General features: G+C 34.8%; 1 protein-coding gene across 9 annotated transcripts in view; it reads left to right on the forward strand.

Annotated features, from left to right (window-relative positions):
* The window catches only part of UGT8 (UDP glycosyltransferase 8), a 79,824-nt gene extending 66,755 nt beyond the window's left edge, over positions 1-13,069 (forward strand). For all 9 annotated transcript variants that reach the window (XM_047416134.1, NM_001322113.2, NM_001322112.2 and 6 more), the window contains 3 exons: positions 524-600; positions 2,929-3,148; positions 10,769-13,069. In XM_047416134.1, coding sequence (XP_047272090.1) covers positions 524-600; positions 2,929-3,148; positions 10,769-11,132 — 661 coding nt within the window. In that variant the 3' untranslated portion in view covers positions 11,133-13,069. The remainder of the gene's footprint in view (positions 1-523; positions 601-2,928; positions 3,149-10,768) is intronic.
* Positions 13,070-13,624: the final 555 nt, after the last annotated feature.

Consider the following 13,624-nt stretch of genomic DNA (forward strand, 5'->3'; position numbering starts at 1 on the left):
AGGAAACAACCTAATTATGTGCTTCACCCCACAAAACTTTTATTTCTGGTGAAGCTAAAGAAGAGAACTTACTGATTTTTTTCAATACTTCTGCCTTCCCTCAGACTCAGGGTGTTAAGGATTTAGGGATATTGACTGCCATAGCAGTGGCAGCTCTCCCTGCTCCTTCTTGTTCCAGCTTCTGGCTGTTTGTGGGGAATAACTTCTAGTGTAGGTTTATTTGTTTGTTGTTTGTTTGTTTGTTTGTTTTTCCCATCTCTGTATGTGTATAGGCGTGAGGAACCAATGGAAAATAGATCTCTATGTAAGCAAATTATTTCTTGTTTTTCCTCCAACCAGTGAAAGTTTTTATTAAAAAGAAACTTAATCAAATATTTGCTGTTACCAAAGCATGGTTTCATTCTTAAGAATATCAACAAAAGATCATCAAACATTTATTTTAAATCTCATAATTTAATCAGAGAGCCCATACTATGAGTAAGGTTTGATTTTTAAAAGACTAATTGTCTGGTGTACATTTTAGGTTTTCTGGACCCAAACCAAAGAATCTAGGAAACAACACTAAACTCATAGAATGGTTACCACAAAATGACCTGCTTGGTAAGTCAATGATGTGTGGTTACTTACTTGGCTGTTAGGTTTTAATTACATAAATGTGACTTTTTTTTTTTTTTTACTTCAGAGGTTCATACGGTATACGGTATGTATGTAGTATATGGTAGAGTTATTATGTTTTTTATCCAGTATCTCAAATCTTAAATTTGAGGCCAAAATTTTAAGTCTTTATTTATTGGAAAACAGTTTGTAAAATGTAAACCTTTGGGCCTCTATATTAAAATTTTTAGACCAGCCATCAATTTTAATTATCTGGAAATTATGTACTTAATGAACTATATAAATTAGTAGTGAATAAGATTATACCTAATTAGAGTAATCAGATGAAAGTAGAACAGTTAAAACAATAAGAATGTAGATTTAGGTTACAGGTTTGTTACAGATGGTCTGAGAACCAAGAGAAATTAGAAGTTATTCATTTGTCTGAAACCAAAGAGAAGCAGAAGACCATGGGAACAGTCAATTTATTTTAACTTTAACTGGATTATCTGCTCTGTTTAGTCCTAAATCATTGGGCATTTTTGAAGCATTTTATATTATTTAATCTTGGGGATTTTGATTCTCAAAATTAAAATAGTAATTAGTATATGCGTATCTTTTAAGTGTGTTTTTTAACTAAATTAGTTTTTTAACTAAATTTAACTAAAAACCAGTAAAGAATTTTATTTATGTATATAATTTATTTTCATCTAGCTTATTATAATACTATTCTATAAATGCTAAAACTAAAGAAAAAAGAATACAAGGCAATTTACCTTTCTTGATCCTTGTATTTTTTTATTTTTAAATCTTTTATGGCTTTACTGTTATGACTTAGATTCCTTAGAAGATAGGAAAGAAGCAGGAAGTTTAAGTGAGATAACCTGACTATCAACTATTTCAGTGCGACAGTGTGACACTGTTATGTATGAACATCTAAACTTTTATTGTGTGTGGGTTTTCCATTTCTTATTGTTTTTCTTTTTTTCTTTTTTTTGACTGTGAGGCTCTACTGCAAGGTCCATGCCTGAAAACTCTCCTCAAGTCCATAGCTGCTCTAGGCTTCTCAGTGTGAGAACTCTGACTTTTTCAAGATTAGTATCTTTTTTAACAATAGGCACTATCCTTGTGAGTCCTCTAATAGCTTCTAACTATGATCAAAAGATTCTTCCGGGATGAGAAGTAGGAACCAAATCAATGTCTTTCCCCTCCCCTCGTAGCCGCCCCTCCTCTTTACACAGCAGCTCTGCTTTATTTAACTGTTGGGTTTGGTGGTAGGTTTTGTTCAAAGAGAGGGGTTTTTGCTAAAAATAAAGTTTGAAATCCACTTCTAGGGCAGATCCTTTAGTTGGACCTAAGAGTCAGAAAAGCCACTTGTGGGTAAGGGCTAGAGACACTGACTAACCAATTCCACCAGTCTTCAGAATGGAAGAGCTCTGGGAGCACCATTGAGACCATGGTTCCCATACATATTAATTTTGTACCTGGCACATGTGTATTTTAAAAGATCGACATTTCAGCTAGCTATAATTTCTTTCTGGCCAATAACATATATCCTAAGTACAATGTTTTTGTTTTGTTTTGTTTTTACAACTCTTATGCCAACTTTTGATCCCTTTTATAGAAATGTAGGCCATTTACCAGGAGAGTAAATCTAGGTTTTGAACTTCCATATTAATTTTGACAAATTATCTTTTTTATTCCCATAACAACTAAATGTTATGTGATGTCTCATGTCTTACAAATGATTATAAATGTTTACCTCTACATGTTTGAGCACATAAATGTAAAATTAAACCTTAAAATTGTGAAATATTAATGCTGATAGAACTTGAATGTTGTGAATAGTGATTACAACATTTCTTTTTGGAGAAGCACACAAACTCTTCATGGACTTCTGGAATCCAGCCCTTTTTTACATTTTTTTTAAAAAGTGTTTTTGACTTTAATATTGATAAACATTTGAGTAGCCAGAAAGTAGATGTCTGTTTTTTCACTCTGGTATTGTTTGGCATTTCTTGCTTTCATTGGCTTCATAATAATTATTGGCCATTTAAATATGTGTTGTTAGTCATGCAATATTTGTGTTAAAAATAGTAATATACATTTCAACTACTTAAAAATGGCTTTTAATTGATATATCAAAATCTGACAATTAGGTATATAACAAATATTTTAATTGGTGTAGAGCAGGAATCAGTGAAATTACACCTTTAGGAATCCTTTATCTGAAATGCATGTTTACTGTAGTGCCGATTTTTAATGAATTTCTGGGAAAATCTCTTCTGTAGAGTAATAATGTTGTAAGTTGTTTTCTTTTTCATCTTTCTTCAGGGCATTCAAAGATTAAAGCCTTCCTGAGCCATGGTGGTTTGAACAGTATTTTTGAAACTATATATCATGGTGTGCCTGTAGTGGGAATTCCACTCTTTGGAGACCATTATGATACTATGACCAGAGTACAGGCAAAAGGCATGGGGATATTGCTAGAATGGAAGACAGTTACTGAAAAAGAGCTCTATGAAGCACTAGTGAAGGTTATCAATAATCCCAGGTAAGGTTTCAATTAACATTAAAGCTGATGAACTTACATACCACAGTATATTGTCAGTAGCCAATTATTTTCAATAGATTGTCAATAAATTATCAAATTATGGAAATATCCTTTAGATTCCTGTGATAATGCTTTGTGCATGTTTTCTATTATTTAGAAAATGAAAACAGCAGTCATTTGACCAGCCATGTTATGACACCAGATAATATTCTGCAAGGATCTTCCAAACAGGGAGAAACTGCAATGGGAACAATCTTTGGATATCTACATTGTGTCAAATGTTATGTGCTTTATTTCATTTTCATACTTATAACAGCTGTATATCACAGTTTTTATTATCCACATTATAGAGGCAAGGCACTTGATATTCATGGAACTTGAGTAATTTGGCTTACACAGCAATTGTAGTTGAAATTAGAAGCCAGGACTGTCTGATTCCCAAGACAGTGTTCTTTGTACTGCATGGTAAGCCTGGTGTTGCTGGGTTTCCCTAGCACTGAGTATTGCAGAAATACGGAGATTTATTTACTCAGGTGAATGATGAAGCAGAATCTTTATTTTGCTTTTTAAATTATTGATGGGTCCTGAGTTAAGCTAGTTCACCAATGAGTCTCAAAGGGTGAAGAACTGGCCTGTGTAGTTTTAAAACAAAGCAGCAGTTTTCTTCATTTGTAGATATTATATTTAATTTACCTTGCATTTCCAATAGCATTAAATATTAGAAGCGTATAAGCTTTTTCTTTTTATGCCTAGGGGATATGGCTTAACACTGAGAAACACTTGAGAAACACTGCCACATTCTAAGGAACAACCAATAATAAGAAAAATTATTTCATATAAAAGGATGCAGCTTGCATATAAAATGCTGAATTCAACTGAAGTTCATTATGCTGCCTTTATGTGAGCTCAGGGGTGACCTTCATGCTCTGGACTCTTAAAGGATCCAGTGTCGGATACAGCTCTGCCATTGGAGCAATGTGTTCCATAACTAGGGTTGCCTAAGTATATCCCTTCTTCTGTTATCTATAGTTTTTCTTTAAAGGTGTGCTTTTCAAAACATGATGTTATTTCATATACATATATATATATATATATATATATATGCACACATACATATACATCATGCATGTATCATATATGTGTGTGTATGTATGTATCTATCTTCAATCTTTCAGGAAAGTTTGTAAAATATAGCCCTAAGTAGAATTATGGGGAAACAGTTGCAGAACTGCTGAAATTGGCTCAGATGAAAAGGAAAGAGCAAAAATCTAGGTTATTCACAGGAAGTTAGTCCAGCTGTGTTTTGCGAGGCATGAACCAGGCTGAATCAGAGCAAGAACAGGTTGCAATCTTAGGTCACATGGCAATTAAATTCCAGCTATAGAATATTGAAGACATGTAAGTGCTTAATTTAAGGATTATTCAATGCAGTGAATAAATTTATATCATTCCCAAAAGTATGCACATCAGATAATGAGTTAACTGCATGTAACTTGAAAACCTTAAATATTTAACTGAAAGGATTTTGTGCATAGAAAGATGTCTTAGTCAATGTAAAAATGCCAGTGATTTGTGTAGCATGTCCTTTGCTAAAAGTCATTATATAAACTGAAGTCACTTATCTTTGTTTCCAATGTGATAATATTCCACATTTAACAGGTGATAATTATTGAAAATATTAGTTTGCCTCACTAATATTGTGTCCGAGATATTCTAGTTTAAACCAAGTAACTAATACTGTAAAAGAAGTATTCCTTTTATGAAGCCAGCATTATCCTGATACTAGAACTGGGAAGAGACACACACAAAAAAGAAAACTTCAGGCCAATATCGCTGATGAACATCAATGTGAAAATCTTCAATAAAATACTGGCAAACCGAATCCAGCAGCATGAGGCGGGTGGATCACAAGGTCAGGAGATCGAGACCATCCTGGCTAACATGGTGAAACCCCATCTCTACTAAAAATACAAAAAATTAGCCGGGCATGGTGATGGGCACCTGTAGTCCCAGCTACTGGGGAGGCTGAGGCAGGAGAATGGCGTGAACCTGGGAGGCGGAACTTACAGTGAGCCGAGATTGCACCACTGCACTCCAGCCTGGGTGACAGAGCAAGACTCTGTCTCAAAAAAAAAAAAAAAAAAAAAAAAAGCTTATCCACTATGATCAAGTTGGTTTCATCCCTGGGATGCAAGGCTGGTTCAACATATGTAAATCTATAAGGTAATCTATCACATAAACAGAACCAAAGACAAAAAAACACATGATTATCTCAATAGATGCAGAAAAGCCTTTGATAAAATTCAGTATCCCTTCATGTAAAAAACTCTTAATAAACTAGGTATTGATGGAACATATCTCAAAACAATAAGAGGTATTTATGACAAACCTACAGCCAGTATCATACTGAATGGGCAAAGGCTGGAAGCATTCCCTTTGGAAACCAGCACAAGACAAGGATGCCCTCTCTCACCACTCCTATTCAACATAGTATTGCAAGTTCTGGCCAGGGCAGTCAGGCAAGAGAAAGAAATAAAGGGTATTCAAATAGGAAGAGAGGAAGTCAAATTGTCTCTGTTTGCAGATGACATGGTTTTATATTTAGAAAACCGCATTGTCTCAGCCCCAAAATTGAACTGAAAGGAACTTCAGCAAAGTCTCAGGATACAAAATCACTGTGCAAAAATCGCAAGCATTCTTTTACACCAACAATAGGCAAGCAGAGAGCCAAATCGTGAATGAAGTCCCATTCAGCAATCACTACAAATAGAATAAAATACCTAGGAATACAGCTATCGGGATGTGAAGGACCTCTTCAAGGAGAACTACAAACCACTGCTCAAGGAAATGAGAGGACACAAACAAATTGAAAACATTCCATCCTCATGGATAGGAAAAATGAATATTGTGAAAATGGCTATACTGCCCAAAGTAATTTATAGATTGAATGCTATTCCCATCAAACTACCATTTACATTATTCACAGAATTAGAGAATACTATTTTAAATTTCATATGGAATCAAAGAAGACCCCCTATAGCCAAGACAATCCTAAGCAAAAACAACCAACCAAAAACAAAAAAACAAAGCTGGAGGCATTACGCTACCTGACTTCAAACTATACTACAAGATTGCAGTAACTAAAATAGCATGGTACTGGTACCAAAACAGACATATAGACCAATGGAGCAGAACAGAGACCTCAGAAATTACACCACACATCTACAACCATCTGATCTTCTACAAACCTGCCAAAAACAAGCAATGGGGAAAGGATCTCCTATTCAGTAAATGGTGCTGAGAAAACTGGCTAGCCATATGCAGAAAACTGAAACTGGACCCCTTCCTTACACTTTATACAAAAATTAACTCAAGATGGATTAAAGACTTAAATGTAAAACTCCAAACCATAAAAACCCTAGAAGAAAACCTAAGCAATACCATTCAGGACATAGGCATGGGCAAAGACTTCATGACTAAAACACCAAAAGCAGTTGCAACAAAAGCCAAAATTGACAAATGGGATTTCATTAAACTAAAGTTTCTGCACAGCAAAAGAAACTATCATCAGAGTGAAAGGCAACCTACAGAATGGGAGAAAATTTTTGCAATCTACCCATCTGACAAAGGTCTAATATCCAGAATTTACAGGGAACTTAAACATATTTACAAGAAGTAAACAACCCCATCAAAAAATGGGCAAAGGATATGAACAGACACTTCTCAAAAGAAGACACTTATGTGGCCAACAAACATATGTAAAAAAGGTTAACATCACTGATCATCAGAGAAATGCAAATCAAAACCACAGTGAGATATCATCTCATGCCAGTCAGAATGGTGATTATTAAAAAGTCAGGAAACAATAGGTGCTGGTGAGGCTGTGGAGAAATAGGAACGCTTTATGCTGTTGGTGGGAATGTAAATTAGTTTAGCCATTGTGGAAGACAGTATGGCTATTCCTCAAGGATCTAGAACCAGAAGTACCATTTGACCCAGCAATCCCAGTACTGGGTATATACTCAAAGGAATATAAATCGTTCTGCTATAAAGACACAAGCACACGTATGTTTATTGCAATACAATTATAATAGCAAACACATAGAACCAACCCAAATGCCCATCAGTGATAGACTGGATAAATAAAATGTGGTATATATACCATGGAATAGTATATAGCATTAAAAAGGAAAGAGGTAACGTGCTTTCCAGGGACATGGATGAAGCTGGAAGCCATCATCCTCAGCACATAACACAGGAACAGAAAACCAAATACTGCGTGTTCTCACTCATAAGTGGGACTTGAACAATGAGAACGTATGGACACAGAGAGGGGGAAGAACACACACCAGGGCCTGTTGGGGGTAGAGGGTGAGGGGAGGGAACTTAGCGGATGGGTCAATAGGTACAGCAAACCACCATGGCACATGTATACCTATGTAACAAACCTGCACATTCTGCACATGTATTCCATTTTCTTTTAGAAGAAATAACAAGAACAACAAAACCCCCCAAAAGTATTCCTTTTATTAATCCACAACTTAAGTAAAATTACACATCTTACGTCTCTGTTTCCTAATGCTTTGGATTCATTTAATAAAGGCCTATTGCTTTTTTGTTTGTTTGGGAGGATTCCTTTGAGTCTGGAGCTTTTATTATTACAAAATAAGTTAGAAAGAAAGATGGAGAATCGATCATTATTAACTTCGCACATATCCAACCTGTGGTCAACTTTTAATAGAAGATATTTATACTTTTGTAAAATTTAATGTACATGTGAGCCCCTTACAAGGTAATTGTTTTATTAAAAGGGGCTTTATCTAAGAGATCTCTTGGAATAACTTAGAGGTGTCTGGAGTGACCATTTTTAATCACACTATTTTTTTGCAATATTCATATTCTTACTGGAAGGAATTTTGAGTTGTAAAATAAACTATGCTCATGGGACAATGCCACTACATTAAATTTGAGACCAGTTTCAGCATGGAAAATACCTGCCCCTCAAAAATTTATCTGTGAGTTCTCCAATATTCCTTTCCAGTTGATCCATGGACCTCCTCTGAACAGAATAGTCATACAAAATGAAATCGGTTAGTTAGCAATCCAGCTTTATAAGTCTACTCCTAGGTGGGACTAAGAGTCTGACCGATGAAAGTCCCTGTTCAGATAAGCTGAGTCAGATGTCAAGAGCTTTTCTGATAATTAGTGATCTAGGACCAAGTAAACATATTGGAGTTCCATATGAGTTAATAATTTATTCAAGAGTACAAGAAGTGAGATTTTCCATTAAAGCATCTGTTTAATCTGTTTAATCATCACTAGAGAAAGGGTTATATACACAGTGACATTAAGGTACCTGAAGACTTAAGATTGTTTTTATCCTTCTTTTCCATCTTTGTTAAAATAAAAGATTGGATTTTATTTTCTAAGATGTCACGTTTCATTTTTGTATTTTAAAGATACTCCTTTGCCCCATAAGCATTTTCTCATAAAATGGAGTAGTAGAAACTTTCTAGTTTCCCTTTTGCCATCAGTTAGAAATTATGATAAATTACAAAGCAACTGAGGATGGCCTTTTAATATTTGGTGAGGTTTTTGTACTTTTAATACAACTAGATTTATTATTTGGTTGTAATTTTCTTATGAGGCATTGATGAGAGAGAAAACGTGCCTGTTAATTACATACTTTTATGTAATAGCCTTCATTTGTTTTTTCTCTCACTCCTAACAACCTTCTGTTCACTGCCTCTCAATTTTTTTGCATAATTGTTAAAACTTAATGTTTAGGTCTAGAGTGAAATCATAAAAAATAAAGGCTCATCAAATCAACTCATAAATATCTGAGTAGATTTTTCACTGGGCTTTGTAATCTTATAGCTCCATCCTCACATTTCTAGTGGCTCTCTCGACCTTTCCTTTCATTACATCCCAAACTGTAATCATTTCCAGCAGCATGTCCCGTGTTCTGTGTTACTGTGTCCTGTTAATTAACTCTGCCATGTGAGTCATTCAAGCTGGAAACATTGCAATTACATATGATCTCTCCCTTTCCCTTCACATTTAATCCACACTTTTACCAACTCCTGCCAACTCTTCTACTACACCATTTCCCTTCCCTTTATCTGTCTAATCCCACCACCATTTTTTTAGTCAGTCTCTCATTGGTCATTATTGAGGTCTTTTTAATGGACTTTCCATCACGAGTATCTTCCCTCTGCTTTAACAGCCTGTCTCCCTGATATAATGGCTCTTTGGTTCTAAGAAAGAAGCTATTATATCTTGTCATTCAGAATACCCATGGGGAAGACTCATCTTCTTCCAATCTAATTTCTAACTAAACTTCATACTTTTTCCAAATGAATTTGTTCTGGGCATATTCTCAGTCTCCCACTTTTATGATTTAGTTTACACTCTTCTCTTGATTTATCAAGTCTTCACACATGTCCAATCTTTTGTTCCTCTATAATGCACAACTCAGTAGTGCTATATCCTCCATGATAGATTTTGTATCTCTTGAGGTGGAAATTATTTCTTATGTCTAAACAATACAAACTTCAGTCATGAATTCATGCAAGGGGGATTTAGCCATTTGTCAAAGATTGGCACATGAATGTGCAGTCACATGTTTTTAGATTAAAATAAAATGCTTATATTTTATCACTTTGTGATTCCCCATTTTCCTTGGTCTTTTAATCATTTAAGAGGGTGTTTTCTTTATACATATATACATGCATACATTACCTATACATATATACTGCATATAACATCAAATCTGACTTCATGGTGTTTCCCAACTCTTTTTTATCTCTTTAATAATATATCTTCACCCCATATTTAATGTTATTTTAAATTAAAACAAAATTAAATATTATTGCTTAAAAAGTGATAGAATGAAGTTCTGTATCTTTTTCTCCATCTTTCTTTTAGAATCTAATAAATTTAGTTTCCATCCTGGTTGAAACTTGTTGATTTATACTATTTAAAAGTATGTGGAGAGAAGAACTACATGTAATGTAGTGTGGAAACAGCATAGGGTTTGGAGTCAGAAAATTCTGGGTCTCAACTTTGTAACATAATCAAGTTAGTCTCCGATTTTCATTTTTCTCACCAATTTAAAATACATTTTATTGGGTTAACATAAGATAATGTGTTTAGGCCGGGCGCGGTGGCTCACGCCTGTAATCCCAGCACTTTGGGAGGCCGAGGCAGGCGGATCACGAGGTCAGGAGATTGAGACCATCCCAGCTAAAACGGTGAAACCCCGTCTCTACTAAAAATACAAAAAATTAGCCGGGCGTAGTGGCGGGCGCCTGTAGTCCCAGCTACTTGGGAGGCTGAGGCAGGAGAATGGCGTGAACCCGGGAGGCGGAGCTTGCAGTGAGCCGAGATCCCGCCACTGCACTCCAGCCTGGGCGACAGAGCGAGACTCCGTCTCAAAAAAAAAAAAAAAAAAAAAAAAAAAGATAATGTGTTTAAAGCACTTAACACAGTGCTTGTACATGCAAGGTACTTACTAAAGAATAGTTGTTTTAATTATTTCCCCTTTTTAAATGAAGATATGCATAAATATAGAACTTTATTATAAGCATCATCATTCTGTGTTTTGTCCCCTCTCCATAGCTACCGTCAGAGGGCTCAGAAGCTTTCGGAAATTCACAAGGATCAACCTGGTCACCCTGTCAATCGAACTATCTATTGGATAGATTATATTATTCGTCACAATGGAGCCCATCACCTACGTGCCGCTGTCCATCAGATCTCCTTTTGTCAGTATTTTTTACTGGATATTGCCTTTGTGCTTTTGCTTGGTGCTGCCTTGTTATACTTTCTCTTGTCTTGGGTGACAAAATTTATCTACAGAAAAATCAAAAGTCTGTGGTCTAGAAATAAGCATAGCACAGTTAATGGACATTACCACAATGGAATCCTCAATGGCAAGTACAAAAGAAATGGCCATATTAAACATGAAAAGAAAGTGAAATGAGCCAACAGCCCAGGTGATAGAAATAAATTGGTTCACTCATTGAATTTTTATTGCTATTATTTAGTCTAACAGCTACTAAAAGTAAAACATCAGTAAACAATTCTAACATGCCCTTATGAGATCTACTAATGAAATTCTGTGGAATTAAGATGGCTGTAAAAAGCACAAACCTAAAATGCAGAAATGTATTTTATTCAAATACTGATGTAGAGAGTTTTGGCACTGAACCTTTTAGAAGCCTTAATTATTTAAATCAATTCAGTGACTGTGTCAGACCTTAGTTTTAAATCTTGATATGTGCGTGTCCCGGATCAGGAATGGTTTCATTTTTCTTAATAATGTGTGTGTGTGTATGTGTGTGTGTGTGTGTGTGTGTTTGTGTGTGTGTGTGTGTGTCCTAATTAAGAGAATTTTTACTGGCTGCTTGTTACATTTGTTGAGGGTACAACACACTCAAGAATAAAGTAAAAGGATAGTCAGGATCCAGATGTTTCTTTTCTAGCATTTAATGTGTGTGAACTCAGAACACTACCATGAAAGAACACTTCCCCCCAAAACTGGATGCAGAGGAAGAAAAAAAAAAAAGAAATGGCACAGTTTTTTGTATTTTTTTTTTTAGTTATTTTTTGTTGTTGTTGTTTGTATTGTTTTTCTTTTCTGATAGAGTATGGCCACTTCTGGGGGAAAAACATGTAATTAAGTAAATGTATACATTGGTTTTCACGTTTTACTTTTGTTTTCCCACTACCAATAATTTTCCTCTGGAAGAATTTTATAGTTTTTTCTATTTCATTTTAATGAGTAACAATATGTTAAATGCATAATTAAGACAAAGCAATGAAATTCTGACTTTATTCAAAGTACTGAAGATTATTGCTTCTAGGGCATTTTTAAACAGCACCATTGTATTGTTGAATGTTTATGTAACTGATGGCTTTTCTATAATGTAATTTTTGAATGTTCAGGTGTTACATTTCCAAAGTTTAACTTTTAAAAAACCATCTTCTGATCCCTTTTATTGTCTGGGCCATACAATCTATATTACATAGGTGCCAACATTTAATTCTTTTAAATGGAACATTTGCAGTTTTCCATATTGGTACCTGCTTTTTCTGGAGAGGTTTGAGATCTTGTTAACAAATCAGACTTTACACTATATACAGATGTGACAGATAAATTGAACCACTTGTTTGTGAAAATGAGTTCCTGTCATCTTCCTCATTCACTCAGCCCTCACCCCAGCAGCCTTTTCCGGTCATTGTAGCTGACATGGAGCAGTGACAGTATTCATTTGAGAACAGGGATGCAAGTCACAGACATCATAAAATCAGGGTCTCCCTGCTGAAGCATTCACTAGTTGGCAACTATGAATTTATTCCATGTCATTCTGTTTACTTAGCACTTGCACTACCCTTGTTGGTTGAGTGTATGCTTTATTTGTTTCTAGTTTGAAATCCCACATCTGATAGCTGAGAGTAGGCAAATACAACATTTACCTAATGTCATTCACTAACATGGAAGAGTTGTGAAAATTCTAGAGTGCTGTAAATCCTTGGCATACACTATGACAAACAACTTCATTACTCTCCCACCAGGAGCTGCTCTCCTGCACTTAGAAATAATGTCACAAGTAGTTTTCTAATGTACAATGCAGACAAATGTACTGCTCTCTGAATACTTGAAGAAATGGTATTATACATACATAGAAACTTATTAGTTATACCTTTTCACAATCTTATTACGATGTTGCCGTTAAAAGGGAAAAAAGACACAGGCAATGAATGGTGGGATAGTAAGAGGACTTAGAGTGTATGAATGAGTTGATTTTACTTTTTTGGAATTTGATTAAGTTGACAGTAGGCACTGATTGGATGATTAAACATAAGTTAATCTCCACTGTGATAAAAACTTAAATAATAAACATGATTTAAAATAGAGAAGTGTTGTTGGAATAAAATTTTTATTCAGATTTTATTTCATAATATTATATATATTCATTTTAAACATGTTTCTAAGACAGGTCTCCCAACTTTTGTATGTATTTATGAGTGTGGAAACACGTGTTAAATGTGAGACTTTTTTTTTTATTGTTAAACAGAGGGAGTTACCTTACAAGGACATCGACATGGATCTTAAAATTCTGTTCCAGAATTCAGAATGTTAAGTGTAGGTATTTACTGATCATTGTTGTTTTTTTTTTTTTTCTAGTAAGATTATTGTTAGACAGTTTTGGTAAATAGGGTGATTTTTAAATTTTCCACACTTGGGCTAGATTCTATAATAAAGTTTTCAAGAAAGTATTTATTCATTTATTATTTAGAAAGAGTTTCTGCAACTATTAAAATATTCCCATAACTGGTTATCATCATGTCAAACACAAATGAGAATTAAGACATTTTTCCTCTAGAGTGGCAGCTTCTAATATCCCTCCACATACACATAGGGGCAGGATTTGGATGTCCAGGGTTGAAAAGAGCTAATGTTTGGGTTAA

The sequence above is a fragment of the Homo sapiens genome, chromosome 4 (assembly GCF_000001405.40).
Source record: "Homo sapiens chromosome 4, GRCh38.p14 Primary Assembly".
In the NCBI taxonomy this organism is placed as follows: domain Eukaryota; kingdom Metazoa; phylum Chordata; class Mammalia; order Primates; family Hominidae; genus Homo; species Homo sapiens.